Source organism: Homo sapiens, chromosome 11 (assembly GCF_000001405.40).
Source record: "Homo sapiens chromosome 11, GRCh38.p14 Primary Assembly".
Classification (NCBI taxonomy): Eukaryota; Metazoa; Chordata; class Mammalia; order Primates; family Hominidae; genus Homo; species Homo sapiens.
In genome coordinates, this window is record NC_000011.10 from 128,477,750 (window position 1) to 128,497,989 (window position 20,240).

General features: G+C 42.4%; 1 protein-coding gene across 10 annotated transcripts in view, besides 4 other annotated features; it reads right to left on the minus strand.

Moving 5' to 3' along the window:
- The window catches only part of ETS1 (ETS proto-oncogene 1, transcription factor), a 128,794-nt gene that overhangs the window by 18,985 nt on the left and 89,569 nt on the right, over window positions 1-20,240 (minus strand). For 5 of the 10 annotated variants that reach the window (XM_017017314.2, XM_017017315.3, NM_001143820.2 and 2 more), the window contains 5 exons: window positions 12,708-12,827; window positions 11,541-11,741; window positions 8,320-8,397; window positions 7,074-7,322; window positions 2,442-2,702 (listed from right to left, as the gene is read on the minus strand). In XM_017017314.2, the coding sequence (XP_016872803.1) occupies window positions 2,442-2,702; window positions 7,074-7,322; window positions 8,320-8,397; window positions 11,541-11,741; window positions 12,708-12,827 (909 nt within the window). Of the gene's footprint in view, window positions 1-2,441; window positions 2,703-7,073; window positions 7,323-8,319; window positions 8,398-11,540; window positions 11,742-12,707; window positions 12,828-19,823; window positions 19,926-20,240 lie in introns of all 10 variants that reach the window. The other 5 variants (XM_011542650.2, XM_047426526.1, XM_047426527.1 and 2 more) reach the window with 3 other exon arrangements.
- Window positions 5,049-5,128: an enhancer, noted in NCBI's record as "active region_5721". NCBI's record gives its function as "activates an Ori minimal core promoter by ATAC-STARR-seq in GM12878 lymphoblastoid cells {active_cell/tissue: GM12878}" and the evidence as "EXISTENCE:reporter gene assay evidence [ECO:0000049][PMID:35858748]".
- Window positions 5,309-5,358: an enhancer, noted in NCBI's record as "active region_5722". NCBI's record gives its function as "activates an Ori minimal core promoter by ATAC-STARR-seq in GM12878 lymphoblastoid cells {active_cell/tissue: GM12878}" and the evidence as "EXISTENCE:reporter gene assay evidence [ECO:0000049][PMID:35858748]".
- Window positions 5,729-5,798: an enhancer, noted in NCBI's record as "active region_5723". NCBI's record gives its function as "activates an Ori minimal core promoter by ATAC-STARR-seq in GM12878 lymphoblastoid cells {active_cell/tissue: GM12878}" and the evidence as "EXISTENCE:reporter gene assay evidence [ECO:0000049][PMID:35858748]".
- Window positions 14,693-15,892: an enhancer, noted in NCBI's record as "CDK7 strongly-dependent group 2 enhancer chr11:128362337-128363536 (GRCh37/hg19 assembly coordinates)". NCBI's record gives its function as "activates an origin of replication core promoter dependent on BRD2, BRD4, P300/CBP, MED14 and CDK7 cofactors, with strong dependence on CDK7, by STARR-seq in HCT116 cells {active_cell/tissue: HCT116}" and the evidence as "EXISTENCE:reporter gene assay evidence [ECO:0000049][PMID:35650434]".

The following is a 20,240-nucleotide window of genomic DNA, read 5'->3' on the forward strand; positions in this document are numbered from 1 at the left end:
AGACAGTGAGCCCACATACTCGCTTTTCTGCACTCAATATGCGCTCAAACATTTGCTGAAATAATTGAATTGTTATAATTGAGGGTTTTTTTCTCTATGTCTAGCACAATGTCTAGCATTCATTTATTTAATTAGTTGATTTAATTCAATTACACTTTCACAGATTTCCTGCCACCAAGATAAGAATGAACACTTCTACTTCACTAAAAGTAGAAAAGGGTACAAGGTAAATTTGCCTAAAACCACACAGTGTGTTAGAGTTGGGAGGAAACACAGAGGACTTCTGTTTTCTGGACTATTATTCTCGCCATCACATGAGATAGTATGAAAAGTGAAATTGCAATTGTCAAGGAGAAAGAATTAAATGGTAAGAGGCTTCAAAAATGTTTTTTCATTAAAATGATTACTTCAGACTTTGAGACTTTTAAGAGATAATCACCACCCCTTCTCTTCTACTCACTAAATGTTTTACTCCCTTATCCCATTTCTGAAGAAAGAGAGAGAGAAAAGAAGGAAAGGAGGGAGGAAGGGAGGAAGGAGGGAGGGAGAGAGGGAGGGAAGGAGGGAAGGAAAGAAGGAAGGAAGGAAGGAGGAAGGAAGGAGGAAGGAAGGAGGAAGGAAGGGAGGGAGGGAGGAAGGGAGGGAGGGAGGAAGGGAGGGAGGGGAAGGAAAGAAGGAAAGGAGGTAGGGAGGGAGAGAGGGAGGGAGGAAGGAAGGAAGGAAGGAAGGAAGGAAGGGCAGAAGAGAGGGTGGGCAGGCAACTATCAATCTATCCAAACATAACTCAGACCTAGAGCATAGTTTTCTCTGCACCACAAAAACAGAAGCAAGCACTGCCAATTAGAGATAATGTCTACCTCCCAAGGCCACAAAGTCATTTTAGAGCTACCTCTGCCTTTCCTTTCTCTTCCCAATTAAGCAGCACATCTCCCTTCCTTTATCACTATATTCAACTGCAGTCTAGTTCTTTAACCCCTAACAGGTATAACTGCATGAGCTGGCACTCTTGTACTTCCTGAGAGTGACTTAATACACTTTTCCTCATCCCAGACGTTTTTAATGGAAATGGATATACTTCCTAATAATCTCCTTTCAAAGATGGGAAAGGACTCCCTTGAAAAGTACTAAGTTCCTACATGCTAGCCATGTTCAAGCAAAGACCACCAGGGTATTGTAGAAAGAATAAAGTAAGGACCTTTAAGTTCCATTCCTGGCCTTGACCTTGTTGCTACTCCAACATGTAGACATAATTCCTGAGCACTACTCATGCAATGAACTGCACTAGGAGCTACATGGAATGCAATATAAGAGAGATACTCCTGATCTTTGAAGGAGGAGTAAGTTTTCAAGCATTTGAGTTGTTCTCAAAGGTCACTGGTTTTCTTCATAAAAGACCTAAGGCTTCCCTGAATGCAAAAATAAGGATTCAGCATACTCTAAGGATCAGAGAGACACCTCAATAGAAACACAGATCTTGCTGTTTGTCATCATCCACACAAAGGGTCCCTACATGAAAACATATCCAGGGTGGAGAGAATTATAAGAGAATAAAGGCCTAGACCACATCTGAGTAATCAAAGCTACTTTAAAATAAGCTCTACTCACAACACACTTTCTAATTTTTAGAAAACACTACAATCTTACAGAGAGATCTGATGATTAACACATTAATGCTCCTTGGCTATTTCTCAGATATACTCTCCACATGTTTTTCTGGTTAAGTAGCATGATATGCTACAACCCATTTGAAGAAAGCATTGTTTTGCTCTACTACCAGAGTCTCAATCAAAGTTCAAGCTCTCAACCTACATCTTCCTTTCTCTATGGCCTTTCTTCACCCATCACTATCATAACTATAGCTTTCGCTCCTGGAAGAAAACTGATAATAAAGCCGAGTAAGAGAAGGGGCATTCTCTATAGGCCAGGATGGATCTGGACAGGGCGTAGTGCCACTGAGGATACTGTTCCCACATTTGAACAGCTGGCCTAAGGAGAACCGTGCTGCAGAAGAGTCCAGTGCGGAGGCCATTCAGTTGTGCCTTTGAGAGATGCTGCTGCTGATTTTGTATTTAGAAAGACCTCCCAAGAGCAGACCAGGAAAAATCCCCTGATGCCAGGCCACTAGATAGAGTTTCCAGGAACACCAGATCATTATAGTTCCCTTCCCCCAGACATGGAAAAACACCCAAAATGTAAGTTTCCTACCATTCTTGGAAATGATCCCTTTGAAGAGAATGATACTATTTGCTTCCAAAAATCAATGGCTATTCACAAGCAGAGTGGCTGGAGAGAGACTAAAGAATTCTTAGAGAGACTTCTCCCCCGTGCCCTGCAAAAGGGAGTCTCTCGTCGTCTCTGGTCAGAGGTGCAGAGTGCCTTCCAGGACCCCACCCACAGAAACGTGCAGATGGAGTTGGCCTAAGCAGCGGGAGGGCGCCTACCTGTGTAGCCAGCTAGGGCAGCAGCAGGAATGACAGGCTTGTCCTTATTGAGGTCAGCACGGTCCCGCACATAGTCCTTGAAGGTGCCCTTGGGCTTGTGGTTGGGCAGGGCAGCCGGATAGTCCTCTGAGTCGAAGCTGTCATAGGAGGGAACACGCTGCAGGCTGTTGAAAGATGACTGGCTGCTCCAGGACTGGGTGAGGCGATCACAACTATCGTAGCTCTCTATGCTTTCAAAAGAGTCCTGGCCCCCGAGTTTACCTGGAGGTAAAGGAGGAGGTAGGAAGAGGACAGGGGGAGGAGGGAGTGGGAAAAAAAAAAAACTGTAAAAACCCTCTTATGGAGGACAGATTGCTAATCAGATCTGCAGGAAGGACGGAAGAAGGGAGAGGCGAGTGGGAACAGAAGCTTCAGGGGTCATGGGTTTACTCTGAGGAAAGGGGCTGCACTAGGCCACCATCCGAGGGTCCACGGCCACTCTGCTGCCTGGTTTGAGAACTCCAAGTACAGAGATTCAGAGTCAAACGTTGCTCACATCTGTCGGAGTAGCGTTTGGGTCCTCAAGAGTTCTAAAGCCAGAAATCTAGAAGCTGAGGATCACACATGTTATGATATGATTTCTGGCTGATGTCGTAGGCCCAATGAATAAATGAAGAAATCAGAGCAATGTCAGGCTGAATTCCCCACTCCAGCTCAAGCCAATGAGATGACTTCAAAAGGCCCAGTTTGGAAAACATTTTGGTCATAAGAAAAAAGAATCCCATTAGACTAAGAGCAGATTAGCCTGTTTTGACCTTGGAACTAAGTGCTATTTTTTAGCATTTTTCCCAAATACTATTTTAATATGAAATACATGTACTGACCCTATGCCTTTTCAAATAGAGTAAGATGGTGTAAGATGCTTTTCCCAAGAGATTTTTTAAAATCACACACACTATCACTCTTCTAAACAGAAAACCATATTCTTTATCCTCTCCAAGTAAAATTATGTACTTGAAATTTAAACTTCATTGGAAAAGTGTAGGCAATATTTAAAAGGTTTATTAAAGAGTTAAGGTCCACAGCAGTGTCAGAAATCCTTTACTGTGTGAGTTGCTTAAGGCATTCTTAACTGACCACAAGATCATGCAAGTTCATTAATTTCCCAAACCAGGTTATAAACAGCTGCTATGATTGCACAATAGCTCCTGGAGAAATTTCCATTGGCAAAAATGCCACTAAAAAGGAGGCTAGCAAAAAAAAAAAAAAAATAGTTTTGGAGGAAAACAAATGAATCTAAGAGCGAAAAAGGCTCGCAGGAATGGTTTTTATATGCAACTTTCAGATACTTTTCAAGTAACCTAAGTTAAATCATAGGAGACTAGATGGTCACCTCAATTCAGCACAGGCCAAAAGGCAAAGGGATGTGACAAATGTTTACGGAGAAATATCCGTAAGTCAACTCTTAATTGTTCAGGGGTGGTTGATCTATAAATTTCAAATCCCAGAATAAGGCTGACTTATACAACTTCATATTAGTGTGCCTCCAGTGTATTTTTCCCTCCATGACAGCGGAGATTGGTTAAAACAATAAACATCAAACATGAACAGATGCCCAAACCTAAATTAAATATATAGGAAAATATGTTGCTCCCAACATTGTTTAAAGATCCGGATAAAATGTATTCGGTTGAGTGTGTACTTTTTGTAAAATCCACTGCTGTGGGTTTTCTCTACATCCTGACCCCCTCTGGAACTGCTTTAAACAGAAAGGTGGTGTCATCCGTTTCATCTCATTCCTTCCTCCACTCATCCATTCAGAGGAGGGTAATCTCTGGAAAGCAAACTGAAGAGCTTCATGGAGTTATCAGCCCTGCCCACCCAGTCCACTAGCAAAAGGGCACCTCTTCATTCTTACTAAAAATGAATATATATTTCTTTATAATTCTTAAAAATTCTTTCCCATTTACCCACCAGAAAAGTCATCTTTTTCACCTTTTTAGAGATCATTTAATTTTCTTTCAAGAAATTCACACTAAATGATTTAAGAAAACAGCCTACAACCAGAATGTCAAAGCCTTGTTTTAGCAGAACAGGAAATTCTGTGGCGTCTCATAAAAAGGTATTTGTTCATACCAGCTACTGATCTTCATGGTCACTTATTTTCTCTTTGAGACAAACATACCAAAAGCCTAAGAAGGAGAATTTATATTTTCATCAACACCGCACCAAGTCGATAGTATTTATGCTAAAGTCTCTCTGAAATGATTCCATTTCTATCAGCCAATTTTATACTTGGAGAAAAAGGACATCAGAATTTTCACAAGCAAGATAGTAGAGTTTCCAAGGAGTCCCACTAAGCAAGGGGACTAAACCAAGCCAGAACCAGTCTCTGGCAACCCCCCAAACATGAGGCAAATGCAACCCTGTTGAGAGTTGTGGTTTACAGCGGTAGGCAGCTTTCATTTTAGCTCGATTTCACAACCCTGGTGCTGGGAACCTTCATTTACGGGTATTTTCTCCAAAAATGGGTAGAATCCAACTGGATTAGATACTCAGTTATGCTGCTGCGCTCATGTAGGGAAACCTGTGTTCTCTAAACTGTCCACTAGCCAGCCTTTCTGAGAAGGGCCTCGGCGAGCTCCTTCCAAAGCTATCTGAGTCCACCAAACAGACCTCAGAGCACTCAAAACAGAAGATGCGGCAGCACCCAGCCACCCACTGAGTAGACTCGTACAAAGACAGTCCTTAGGGCCCAAATAAGTGGGGCATAGAAGCACTCTGTACGCTGTAATGCAGCCCGTGAATACTGTACTATGGTTAGTATAAATAACAATCAGCTAACAGTAATGCTTTCGGTCTAGACCAATCACAGCATCTCAGAATCAATTGGCCCTTTGCATAGGCCCTGTTTGCAGCACTTCTAACATGCAGAAAACAGCCCTGCACAAAATGGTCTTCCCCTCAAGTTTCTGTGGCCTGAACTTGGAGGGAGGGAAGAAGAGTGGAGCCAGAAAGAAATACCTCATGTCTCCTTGTAAGGGTCACTTTTGGTCCACAGTCATTAGTTTGGGGTTGGAGGGGTGGTAGGGACCAAAACCAAGAATGAAGAAAAGGAGAGGGAAAGAGACAATTACACAAATGCAAAGCCAGATGCAATTTCAAAACAATGTGACAGGAGATCGACCCAAAGTTACAACATGGCTGAGCCCAAACCCACAGGCTTGGCCTCACTGTGTAGATGTACAGAAAGTCCCACAAGGAAGAAAGTCGTTTTAATGCTTTGACTCGCCTGATAAAAAAGAAACACATGTACACACACTTGTGTGTATGTATTTAAATAGACATGCACCCAAAAATAAAAAAGAGCCAGAAAGGGGAAGGCCGACTGGTCCCACCCATCCCCTTCGGTCTGAAACACTAACACCCTGGGGCCTTAAGAAGGAAGATTAGGGGTTCTGATTTTGCAGGGACTTTCCCTCTGCAGGGCTTGTTGGTGATCCCTAGGCCTGCTAGGAGGAAGTGTGAGTCTGAATACTCGAAGAAGACGACAATGGGCATGACCCATGATTCTTCAAAGTAAAGGTACCATTGGGCTCTCCTCCAAGAGCCTCACAATAGGCACCGCATATGGTCAGTCATTGAGCAGAAATCACTAATAGGCCAGCCCCAGCCTGACATCTGACCCAAGCCCCGCTTGATCAGCTTTCTCCTGTTCCTCTTCCCATTTATAATTCTTTCCCATTTACCCACCAGAAAAGTCAGGTTTTTCACCTTTTTAGAAATCATCTAGCTCTTGCTAAATAGACAAACCCTTTCTTACAATAGATTGCATTTTTCTCAGAAACAAAACAATCTGGACACTTTACTAGGTAGGCTGTACCTCTGAGTGTTTATGTCCTGTTCCTAAAAATTGGGTGCATTTTACCTTTTTTGCTTTATGTCACCCAGCTCTATTTTTAAACACTTTCTTCCCTGACAGTGAATATTTTATCACTATTATAATAGTCACGTTAACAAAACTACCTTCTTTTGGAAACCCCTGGCCACCTCCGTCCCTGGTCCTCTAGCTAAATACACACTTCACCACACTGCTGATGACTGGTTCCAAATAAACCGTTGGTTAACCATCTTGTATCTTCCCAAACCGAAAAAGTCACAGGAGGCTAAAGATCCCAGGCTGGCCAGCAGAGGTCATTCCAGGTACCCAGCTAGGATCTACAGTCAGACCCAGGAGTCCTCTGGGAGGAGCACCAGGACACATGCTAAGCTTAAGGGTTTTCCAGGGTGGCCACTTGAACCATTTTTACTTGATTATGTCCTCCTCAAGGAAAATAGAGCATACCTTTCAAAATGACCAAATTCAACTAGAGTTATTGAGTAAAACATTTTGCCCAAGTAAGATATTTAATTTCTTAGATTGCCTGATTTTGATTTCACTGTGGACCCCATGGCCTTTGTCATAATAATGGACTTGGCTAAAACACCACGATGGAAAGTTCTTAGTATCTGGACACTCTAAGATGGGAAGGCTGAAACTGAGGAATCTACAGGTCTAATAAATAAGAAAAAAAAAATGGAACCTGAAAAAAACTCACAAAGTCAGGTAATTCTTGTAAACCCAAGAGCTTTTAGAGAAGAAATATGACCTACCACGACTGGTCCTCCCCATGCACATGTTGTCTGGGGTGACGACTTCTTGTTTGATAGCAAAGTAGTCATTCTGCAAGGTGTCTGTCTGGAGAGGGTCTCGGAGAATGACCGAGGGGTAGTCATTCTCATACTTGAGGGAGAGGAGCTCTTCCGAGCTGATGGGATGGAGCGTCTGATAGGACTCTGTGATGAAGCTGGGCTCTGAGAACTCCGATGGTGGAACACACTGGGCATGCTCAATACCATAGCCTGGAAACAAAGGGTTTGCAAGTAAAGAGAGGAGAGATTTGTACCTAAAATAAGCAGTTTTCACCATCTACAGGGCCCTATGATGTGGGACAAGCTCCTTAGAGAATAAGGGAAAATACTTTAAATCAGAAAAGCTTGCATTTTTAACCTTGTCCACTACTAAACAGCTTTAGCCCTTGACAAGGTAATTGATTTCCTGACTTCATATCCTCATCTCTAAAATGGGGGTGATTGCGATTTTTCCCGGAGCACTGTGATGAAGATGAAATGAGGATAGAGGTCAAATGCCCACCAACATTCCCCACACAATAAGCTCTTGACACAGAGTAGTTAATATCATTGTGTCACTGGAATAAAAATTGTAATAACGTAAAAAGATAAAACGAAAAAAATAAAACCTGTTTCATATTCCCTGTAAAAGCACAGCCATCAGATAAGATGGTCCTATATCTCAGAGCTTACATTAGTGCAACAGGCCTACATTCATTGTTTCCCTCAGGCCATCTCTTCAGTATGGTTGGGTATCTTACACGAAAAAGGAGAAGACTGTATTTCCTATAATAGAATTTGAAGCTGCATAGCACACTCTTAAAGAAGGATTTTGGAGGAAATGCTGTTATCTCCACTAGTAAAAAGGAAAGAACAAAGACCAAGATCAAATCCCTAACCCAACCCTCTTTTGGCCATCGTAGTGCACAGTATCAAATAGGAACAAAAGTTTAGGGGTCTAGTTGCAGTCTCTCTGCATGACTTTCAGGTGAAGACATCAGAGAAGGATCCTAGTGTGTAGGAACTTGGTAGGTTAATGAAACATATATATAGGTTGAAACTTTGTGCTTTGTGGAAAATAATAAAATAAAGTAACAAAGAAGAGTCTACATCTAAGAAGATATTATTTTTGATAGAATTACCATGAAGGAGCCTGAGATTCACTGAGATAGGGGTCTTTTCCTAGTTTGCTATTATCATGAGAGAAGAGGGGTAGAAATGAACTTACTAATGAAGTAATCCGAGGTATAGCGGGATTCTGGATAGGCTGGGTTGACTCCATTAACTTGATATGGTTTCACATCCTCTGTAATGAACAGATAGGGAAGGAACAAAGAGGTCAATATTCAAGTCATGCTTGGCCTAAAAGGATCTTGGATGCAAAGACCACAATGATCTCAACCCCTTTTCTAAGAAATCTGCATACTCATTAACTGGGTTGGTATCTGAGTCTGTCCTGACTGTGGCCTTGTCTAAAGATGAGATCAAAAAAATATGACTAAGGTTATTATTTCAGTAGCTGCAAAATGGGATTTAGTATCTTGGAAAGAGAATCCATGAGTAATCTCTAAGGGCTCAGAAGGCATTCAGCATTCATTCTCAATGCATTCGTGCTGCGTGTATGTCGACCACACTATAGCCAAAGGCTTGAGTACATCCCAGGTTAGCAGGATCAATCCCCAACCCCCAAACTAATCAATTTCAAAATTTCTCAAAAATATATTGCAGTCTTTAGGCCATAGATTTTACGTTCTCCATTTCCTCTAACAGATGTCTGGTTTTTGTTTTGTATTTTTCCCATTGCCCTCAGGTTTCAAGTTCAGGCCCAGACAAGAAGCAGGACACTGGTAAGGTGACTCCATTTGGTGAAATGCGACTGCGCTTGTGTCAAGGGAGAGAAGAGCAACCCAGTCAAGCTCCTGCCCAGATGCCAACTCCCCTAGGAAAAGGAGAGGAAGGGAGACGAAGTGCACCTGCGGACAGAAAGCTCTGAACGACCCTGCAGTAAGCCTGGGATCCTCTAATTACCCTGGAACAAATGCCATGGCTCCGATTCTTGTATGGAGTAGTCTGATTATATTTCACCATAAGAATCTGACATAGAGTATGGGTTTGGGTTTTTCCTCAGGTATTTGATAGCTTGTTAGGAGCAAAGTCTGATGGGAAAACAAGTTTATGCCTGCACAGAAAAACAGTTCCCAGTTGAGATAAAATGATTAAACTTTGCTTTAGCAGTTTATCAGATTGAAACATCCCCGTACCTTTCACCTTCCACCCCACCCCAAACAGCTATGTTCTTTTGCTGCTGTGTTGCTTTAATTACAGAACAAAAGCTGTAGCCTCAGCACAAACATCATGCTCATCTCTTCAAGTAACTGAACCTGAAGAGGGAGAATTCTTTCTGCCTCTCTCAACAGAATATTGGGTGGGAAGATATGACTTTTGCTCTCAAACATACTGACTTATATCCTAATTCTCTTAAATTTTCTTACATTATTCCTTTACCCTAAGTGAGGCCAAACCAGTCTTAGCGGCCAGAAGGCCCCTGTGAATCCACATTATTATACAAAAAGCACAGGATGGGATGTTAAATTTTAAGTTAAATAAAAATATATTGAGGGCAGGCGCGGTGGCTCACGCCTGTAATCCCAGTGTTTTGGGAGGCCAAGGTGGGCAGATCACGAGGTCAAGGGATCAAGACCATCCTGGCCAACACGGTGAAGCCCTGACTCTACTAAAAATACAAAAATTAGCTAGGCATGGTGGCATGCGCCTGTAGTCCCAGCTACTCAGGAGGGTGAGGCAGGAGAATCGCTTGAACCTAGGAGGCGAAGGTTGCAGTGAGCCGACATCGCGCGACTGCACTCCAGCCTGGGTGACAGAGCAAGACTCTGTCTCAAAAAATAAATAAAATAAAATAAAATAAAAATATACTGAAAGTTGAAATAAAATGAAGAAAAGGAGATGAGTGATACTGAAGAAATCGCCTACCCTGAGCTTCATTTTACAGACAAGGACAATAATAGGACTTGTCCTTACTATCTCACAGTTATTTTGATAATCCAAAGAGAAAATGTATTTGAAAGCACTTTGGAAACAGGGAGACATGATAGAGATATTAATTGTAACTACAATCAGAGATGGGCTTAGATAGCCCAAAACACCTAGCAGCTCCATTTTGATAAATGGAGGAAAACAGCCTCTTAGTAGAATATACTGGGTTACACAGTCTGATTGAATCTGCTATTGTGTTTAGAAGTCAACAGTCAAATCAGATCTGTTAGGAGCCTGCCGTATCGTTTCCCTCTATAAACAGGTCGCTCATGTCAACACCTATGAGTGGGTGTCTGTGCATGGAGAACATGCCGGTGCTTTGCAACTGCCTGCCATCCTCGGTAAAAGCAGCCACAGAAAGACTCACCTAGTTCTTTCCTGTATTCCTTTATGTCTTATTTTTCAACAGAAAGTGAAAAGAAGGAATAAAGATAACATTTTTGAGCACAGAGAAATCTAGTTTGGGTCTCTCTTGAGCACTGCAGAATGGAATATATTCTTAACCAAAGGAAGGTATAATGCGGGGTAAAAGTGCTAATCCTGAGTTTTGCTCCCCTCCCCCAGCGTCTGTGCCAAGGGTTAGAGCTGATGACCACAGGGAAAGGATGGGCCTGGGTTAGAGAGGGCAATGGGCTTCTAGGCTTACAGTCAGCTGAAGGGCACTGCTGACTGCTGGTAACTGCAATTTATTTTAAGAAAAAATTCAAAAAAATAAGCACAAAAACACCCAAGTTTGCCGCCTGCTGCTGTTTCTATACTCAGCCAGGACTGTGGTACATGAGTCACTTGGTCCAAAAAGGTTGGAAGAGGCTGTTAGGGGAGGCCATGTCATTATAAGGTTGCAACATAGCGTCCTGATATAACCCCAGTTCCTGCTCCAGATGTAAAAGGTATGATGCACTACTGCAATTCCAATTCAGTTAGTGGGCAGAGAAATCTGTCTTATTAATACGGTCTCAGACGCTAAGCTTTCCCGGGATGTGATGAGGTATTATGGGGCATGCATCAAGGCAGTGTGTATTAAGATTGCAGAAAACAAAAACAAAAACAAAAACAAAAACTATTCTTGGGTTGGCTGTGGGCACTGCTTGTTCAACCAGGGCATGGGTTTGAGATAAGGACCTGGATTAGAATGTTGCAATCCAAGAAGCTTCAGTGGTACAATCTTGCTGAAGATTAATATCTGAACCCCCAATATGTAGAAGAAAAAGAAATTACACTCATCTAAGAGTACCTGCTGTATGCTGAGCAGTGTACTAGGCACATTCCCACATACGTCCTACAGTAGGACACCCACAGATAAAGGCATTGACGTCCCACCATTGGGTGAGCCCCCTACCTACTCTCACAGCAACCCCACATAACCTCCACCTCTCTCTGTTTCCACATATTTACCTTTCTGCAGGATCTCTAGATGTTCCCATAAGATGTCCCCAACAAAGTCTGGGGCCAGCTCGAGAAAGCAGTCTTTACCCAGGGCGCAGAGGGCTGCTCCATTCATACAGAACTTCTGGAAGTCTACACCTTTCAGGCTGAATTCATTCACAGCCCACATCACCCAGTCCCGAACATGGGTTTCTGTCCACTGCCGGGGGTCTGAGGAAAGAGATCAGATGAAGATCCAGCAGGTCGGGCTTTTAACTCCTATCCAAGCCTCAGAGAGGACACTGAAGGAGCTGAATTTAGCTGAGAATGCTATCTTTATTCATCGAATGAGGAAGCATCAGCCTAGCCTGCACATCATTGAGTGCCTTCCATAACCCTCCCCTCCATATTCAACATCTCCGCCTTCTCTATTTCACCAGCTAGGAGGTCACTACTGCCAGCCAAAAAGTACCACATGAGTATTCTCTGTCCTTGCAGGCAAAGATTTCCATGAATCTCCTCTCTCACTGCCTTATTCCCATTGGACTTTTTTAAAGCCCTGAACAGAACAAATGGCTTCTTTAATAGCAATAATAACAAGAGATTGCTCATGCCTCTCCCTGCTCTTAACTATAATATACTTGAGACTATTATTCTCGATTATTTTTTATCTTAGCCAATTATAGTGGTAACAATTGTAGCAATTAGTAGTAGTCATTCATTCAAATGGCACTTGGTAATAACATTATTAGGTGCCTGTATTATACCAGATACTCTGCAAAGTCTGTACTTATCATAAGCTATAGCTTGAGTAGCACTGTAGTATTGATAACATGCAATCTTCATACATGACCTGAGGTTTAACCTGGCTACACCCACCAATGACACTTAGAAGTTCAGATGACAGCAGGTGTAATGCCCAACATCAGAGCTGTTCCAAGAGATCCAGAAGTGATTCTAGTGTGCAGGCAAGTTTGAGGACCACTGTCTTCATACCAAGATGGCAAGAACAAGCCCAGGAGACGGGGCAGCCTCAGTATGTGTGTCATGATTGTCCTAACAGATGGCAGCCATGGCCCATAGCTGCTGACTCCAATGTGGTTAGTGTAACGTCTGCCTCACACACTCCAGGTGAGAAAATGTGTCTTCCCAAAGGGTCTGACCCCAACCACTCTTTTTCCAACTACAAAACCATACCTTTTGGGATCCCCAGTCGTTGCTGTTCTTTAGTGAAACCACTGAAAGTAGCTTTTAATGCTTGAGACATCATTTCTTTGCTGCTTGGAGTTAATAGTGGGACATCTGCACATTCCATATCTGCATGAAAAAATTGCATATGAATAACAAAAATTACATAGGTAATGAACCAATCATAAAACATTACAAATGGGCTGTAAGAAGGCAAGCTGAGAAACAACTGTGCTAGCATCCTCACCAGAGCACCAGAGCAGGCAATTTTTTTTTTTTTTTTTTTTTTGAGACGGAGTCTTGCTCTGTCACCCAGGCTGGAGTGCAGTGGCGTGATCTCAGCTCACTACAACCTCTGCCTCCTGGGTTCAAGCGATTCTCCTGCCTCAGCCTCCTGAGTAGCTAGGATTATAGGCATGTGCCACCATGCCCAGCTAGTTTTTTTTATTTTTAGGAGAGACAGGGTTTCACCATGTTGGCCAGGCTGGTCTCGAGCTCCTGACCTCAAGTGATCCACCTGCCTCGGCCTCCCAAAGTGCTGGGATCATAGGCATGAGCCACTGTGCCAGCATGAGCAGGCAACATTTAAGGGGCTTTCCACATTGTGCTAGGTCTAAAATGTCCTGCATCCCTGACAAACAAATATGTTTACTCTTCCTGAACACCTCTACTAGTTTATACACAGTCCCTGCTTATCTTTCACATTTACCGAGAATATTAATGTTACTACATACTTTCAGTTACCTATGAAAATGAAATAACAATATTCATTCATTCAACAAATGATTATCTAGCACTTGCTTTGTGCAAGGAATTAAAGAAACAACAGTGAGCAACACAGAAATAGTCTCCACAGGAGCTAGCTATCTGATTCTTGCAGTAGATTCAGCCACTAAAAATCTATCTACACAGTTAAATGTTCAAATGCAATGTCAATAAGGGCTTCAAAGGAGAAGTACATGATGCAACGTTAATGTGCAACAGGAATTCCTGGAAGTCTGAAGGAAACAGGAAAGGCCTCCCTTAGAAGATGAGAGATGTTTGACCTGAATTGTGAAGGATGCATGAGAATTTAGGAAGAAAAGAATACTCCAGATCAGTGGTTCTCAAAGTGTAGTCCTCAGAGCAGGGACATCAGCATCAACTACAAAAAGATCATTTTGTTTTAAGATCACCTTATCCGTTCTGTAAAGAGTGATTTAGGGGTGAGTATGAATGGATGAGCAAGACATTTTAGAAAGTTATTGCATCAGTCCTGGTGAGAGAGGATGGTGGCTTTGACTACAAAAGTGGCAAGGCAGATAACATAAGTGAACATGACTTCAAGTCAACTTGAAGTGCATACAGGACGAAAAATCTATAAAGCTTGGTTAGTGTCAGTAGTGAAGAAGAGTGAGGCATTACAGCCTGCAGATTTGCAAATGTATCATCATTTGCCACACCCACATGCACCTTAATCTCTGCTATGTCCATCCAGATCCTCCTGTATTTGCAGACCATGTTCACGATGTTGGTACATAAATACAGCTGAACGTAAACATCTTCTGAATTAACCTCAGGCACAGTTTCCCACAAAAAGTGAATAAGCAAAGAAATGAGCTGAGAATCCCTACTAGCTTTCCTGTTACCTTTTGACAGTGATACACTTTACCAAAGTGATTTCTAGAAACCTGAATCTTCAGTGTATCCCATGAAACTGACTTATAAAATGACTAAGTTCCAGGCAAGGCTACTACAGAAATTCTTCAACTGGCCATTTCTAAACTTTGCTTCGTTAAAAAATATTCCCCGGACACAAACAATGTGTTATGGGCTGAATGAAATTAAGCATAGGATAAACCTCTGAAGAAAGGAGCAAATATATTGCCTCTGAATGTCGAACTAAGTGGAGATTACACTGCATAAAAGAAGGACAGGTGGCACTTTCTCTCTTGTTTGCTTTTAGTGATGCTGTCAGGAAACTGCTAGAGTCCAGGCTGTGCCCTGGAAGAACAGAAGGGCTCCCTAGCTGCTCTTCCAGGCCTTGCCAATGACGAGGAATCTGAAGTTCCAGGGAGTGGTAAGTTTGGGTTGCCCTGGGACATGCCCAAAAAAATCTAGTGGAAAAAATCAACATGTCTCCAGGAAGGTTAACAAAATGATGGAAAATCCCAGATTGTTAGGGGGAAGTAATTGGGGGAGGGGATAGAATGTTGATTACATAACATCCAGCCCTTCAAACAATGGAGTAATCATCAAATGAGTCACTAAGAAACACATGGCTGCTCCCCATCCATCCCCACTCTACACCTCCAAGAACAGCTAAGCGGCAGGTCCAGAAATGTCTTCCCTTAGAGTAGAAATCAGTTTTACTTTAGAGAAAAGGGCTCTCTAGTTAACCAGAGAGTATTGCTTCTGAGAGAAGAAACAACTGTAGCAGCCCCAGCTCCCAGCACATGGCTAAACACACAAGTCAATCAACAAATGTTGAGTGAATTAAATTTTTCCAAATTTGAAGCAACTTTCCTCCCTTCACCCCCATCCAACACAAATTCATTAACTTGAACTGTGTGGGTTTTGTTGTGTGTGTTTGTTCCCTCCATTAGATTTATGACTTGATGAAAAGGACCTTACTGATGGCGGAAATTGGCCAGGACAACACATGTGGAAAACACAGGCCAGGCCAAATGGACAAGCAGTGGTTCTGCTGTAGCGGGAACTGAAGAATGAGACTGACTAGGAGGCCCCCAGAATCTTCTCAACATGAAAGCTGGGACAGTGGGATGCCAGTGTGAGGTGACAGCCAAGGACGACAGCAGAAAGCCTGAAAAAGAAGTTCCTTGAGTCTGCCTCCCATAACTACACAAGCCCTGGCAGTGTGGTCTGGACAGGACTGCTGAGCTGACAATTCTCCACGTAGGTTTCTGCTTCCTGTCAGGGGGCAGGCACTTCTGGGTTCTCACTTGTTCTCTCCCAGGAAAGCAGCTAGAATTACTTTTGCCTTTCCACCTCAATGCCATCTCCACAAGCCCAGTCCACGTGCTGTTGGGGCCCCATCAGAGGTGCCTGGCTCTGCCCCTCTGGCTGTGAGACTCAAGTGCTAGATCTCTTTAAAAAAAGGGTTCACATCCCAGCTGGGGGAAACCATCCCTGTCCACTTAGGACACTTGCATTTGGACTTGATCAGCTCCAGAGAAGGCACAGCATTGTCTTTGGAGCCAAAGGATTCAGATGTAAAAGTCAGAACTTTATCCTATAAAGTGTGGAATTGTAGTTTAAAAAGAAAAAAAAAGTCAAACTCCCTTCTATAACTAAGTGAACAGTTGGCAAAGATTGTCTTTTTCGGTTGTGTGAGCATTGCTCTTAAGTGATGACTAATCATGCTCAAAAATGTATATTAAATAGAAAATAAACTCACCATATAAAATACTAATTCAAAAATTCTCTTCATGTTGTTTGCAGATTGTAGCAGTTCTGTTCAATATACTCATCAAAAACAATGACAAAATCATTACACGGGTGAAAAATCTGACATGACTTAGCCTAAGCAGATATCGCTTTACTCTTAAAATACTTTACTTCATCACCTATTATAATATTTTTACATTAGGTACAAAATATTTCTAATTTTAGAATCAGTGTCTGAAAGTTAATCACTACCTCCATAGACATTAACTAATTATATTTTATGGAAAAATACTGAAATCTCCTTTGTGCTAATAATTACAATATCTTAAATTCAAATAACGTATTTGTTTCAAAATGCTGAGAATCCGGCCTGGAGAAACACTACGCCAACACAGTGGAGATTCTAAACACAACGCACTGGAAAATGAGGACATAAATATATTGCAATTATATTAGATTTCCTGCCCACTGATTATTCCTTGGGACCCCAAATTTCAGTTAATATTTATAGGAATTCCCCTAGACCTCTGAAAGGACAGTTGTGCAGAAGCTGGTGATTAAATAACCATTGCAGGAGATTGCACAGTATTTAGACAGAAGTGAGCAGGTAGCTTTCTCTGAATCTACAGAAGAATAAGCTAGTGGCATTTTGAATGCAGGGAAACATCTGCTCATTTTTCATTGTGGCCTAACCCTGAACCACCTCATAGATGTTTCAAGTGAAATGTAAAACAAGGGTTTCCATTCACTTACATGTAACTCAAAGTTAAGGGCTGTTCAGTTTCCAAGAACCTTCCAGGGTGTTTCATGTGTCTTTTCATACCACTCTTTTCAGTTCTTTGAAACCGAATGGCTCTTACCAACAATGGTACACAGAATCTAAACACTAGGTGGCTTTTGTTTGGCAAGAAGTTCAAGACATCTGGCCTTACTGACCTCACGAGTTTATGCTCTCACTATTCTCAATCAATGATCATGTGAAGACTGGAGCGTCTGGGATCCTAGGGTTAGGAGATGAGGGATACAGCCAAGGACAAGAAATCCAAGGTGCATGTCCCAGTTTTGCATGACCATTGAACTGGGCCCAACCCCATCAGATTATGATACCAGTCATGTGTGTTGGGTATGGTCACACTCAATAGCAGCATGAAAGAAATACTAAGAGTGAGTAATATGCCTTATACCTGAGAAATGCTTTACAGTTTGCCAAGACTCTTCACATACACTATTCCAAAATATCCTCTAAACATAAAACTGGAGGGGCCTGGAAAGGTATCACAAGGTCCCCATTTCACAGATGAGGAAATCAAGGCCCTGGGAGATCAAGAGCTTGACCTAAAGTCACAAGGCCAAGAGGGACCAGCTGGGGCTAGAAGCCAGTCTTCTAACTCTTAAAGTTCAGGGTCTTTCTCTCTATTCCACTGCAAACAGAAATGGATCAGATATCCAGGAAAACTAACATTTTTCAGAGCTGAGAAAAAAAAAATGGGACTTTTCCTTTCTTATTTTGAAAGATTTTAGGAGTGATTAAAAACTTAAAACTATTCCAAGAAACCCAGGGTTTCATACAGCTAGCCCCGTAAGAACATAATTAAGAGCCATTTACAGAATCAACTATAATCTTTTCTTTTCCTGGCACTCAGGCAACTGAGGCTTCCTTCCATATGAAGCAAATGAGTTAAGTGAAAACCTGGCTTCCTTCTCTGTCCAACCCTGACTCAACCTAATGGGTAACTTTGCATATAACAGAAGTTTAATTTGTTACATAAAGGCTTACTGAAATATATTTTTTAAAGTAAAAGTAAACCAAGAATAAACCTTCTGGTCCACATGGAGAGGATAAAAGAACAGTTCTCCAAACTGAAAGATAGGATTCTAAAGACAAAGAAAAAAGAGAGAGAGGGGCGTGCATTGTTGATAACTTGTTGATCAAAATCCATAGGTTCTGATTTCACATACGCCATTAGTGTAGACACACTGGATAAGTCACTTACTCAATTCACTTTGAAAAGAGGTCTGTTCATAGGTGGTGTCTATATCCCTCATAGAGTTTTACATTTTTTATTTGGCAATTTTCAAACATACATAAAAGTAGAGAGAAACTCTACTCAAAATTTATCAATACTACCCGTTTTTATTTCATCTTCCACACACATGCACACCCATACACACACGCAGAAGAATTATACACCTAATCCCAGAAAACAAGTCATTTCACCCACAAATATTTCATTGTCACAAGGATATTTTTTAGATAAAGGGAGATCATAGAGTTAAAGTTCAATAAGAGGCAAATAAACTCAAGGAAAAAGAAAAAAAGCCTTCAAGTTACTTTCTCTCATGCTTAAATCTAGGTCTATATTTCATGCATTGGCCCACTTGAACCACAGAACTTCTTTCAAAGCAACACTGTCATGATCTGGAAAGTGCCAATGTTGGATCACAGAGATGATTTCAAATCAAGATGGTAAGCCAGTTCCAGGGACTTCCATTTCCTACAAGCAGAAGGCTGCAGTGATATTTCCTCTTAATGGTCAACATCCTCATGAACTTACAACTGTAACTAAAGTGTACAAAACAAATAAAAAGGCTCGGAGTTCTGGCCAGCACAGAAGGGCAGTGTGAAAGGTAATATCATTGCCAAACTGCCGACAACAAGTCCCAGTTTAGGAGATAAGGTGCCTTTACCCCTTCAGACCAACACAAATAGAGAAATGGCTGCAGCCACACTGACGGCTCTGCTTCTGAAGTTGATGACCCCTGGAGGGTGGTCACTGGTCTACAAGAGGATTCTCCTGATAAAAAAGCTAATGATCTCAGAAGAATGTGCAAAGGAATCTCAAAGAAAGACAGTCTCTATTGCCCTCTCTCATTCATATAAAGGCAGGGTTGAAGTAGAGTAGAAGGGAGTGGTAAGTGATTCCTGTGATAGGCACTAGAAACCGGGCAGGCAGGACTTCCAGCTTAGGGAGGTACTATAATCCACAAAGCTTCTGGCTAAGGTTAATGCAAAGAAGGGAGGGAAGTGTCCCTCCTCAGCCCCTCGGCTGTATTTTCATAAACCCAATGATGTGACAACACAATGGGGGACACGCAGGACTCTTGGCTCCAGCAAGAGTGAAGCAATAAATGACTCAGTGCCCATGCTGAGGCCACCCATCCCAACCAAACCGTCTATTATTGTCCCAAACAACAGGACACTATGAGACCTGGAAGAGACTCATATGAGTTAGGAAACATACAACTGGGTTTCTGAACTTCTTTTAATACCTAACCCTTTCGAAGTCACCAGCCAGTAAAAACCACTGCAAAGAAGGGAGAAGAAGCTGCAGAGAAAATCCCCAATTCACCCTCCAGTGACCTGACTGACCAAAAATGCAAGCCAGTCTCAAGTTACAGTATCTCGGTTTGCTGCCAATGCACACAGTCACTAGGGAAAGCACGCTCTTTGGGTACAATGTGCCAACTCAGAGGAGATGCCTCTCCCCAGAGGGAAGCTGCCCTAAGACAAAAGAGATGGTCTCCTGCAAGGCAGCTCCAAATTGCATGGAGAAGCTGGTTTCAGGTCCTGCAGCCAGGCCTGAGAAAGAAGCCTGTAGAGAGGGCTCAGCACACTGAACATCTGTAGGAAGTGACCTCAGACTTCTCCCTCTTCCCTTCATCCACCTCCTGCCCCATCCCCCAAAAGGAGTTTTAACACATTATTACCACTGAAGTCCTGAGGATTTGGTGACTCACCAGGCTCACACATGGTTCCAATGAGCCCTTGACCATTACATGGTAGGGAAGCAGGAAAAACAAATGAAAGCAGTTGTAATTCGGCAGCGCCGGAGTTCAGACCTGCCAGACAAAAGGGATTGCAGGCATGTTCCCAAATTCGTTCAGGCACCTGACATGCACAAGCTATTTTTAATCACTGGATTTATTTCTTTCCTACCTCCTCCACCATCCTCCACCTCAGCAAATGTTTCGAAGTCAGAGCAAAACCCAAATCAATTCCAGGTGTTCAGGGAAACCCAGAGAGGCTCTTCCGTTCCAGGATCCCAGCCAGAAAGCAGAACTGCCCCCTTGGTCCTGTAGCTAAATTTTCTCGCTCATTCCTTAGACTAGTTCAAATCTCCCACCCTAAACATTGGGCAAATGGCCTAAAATAGG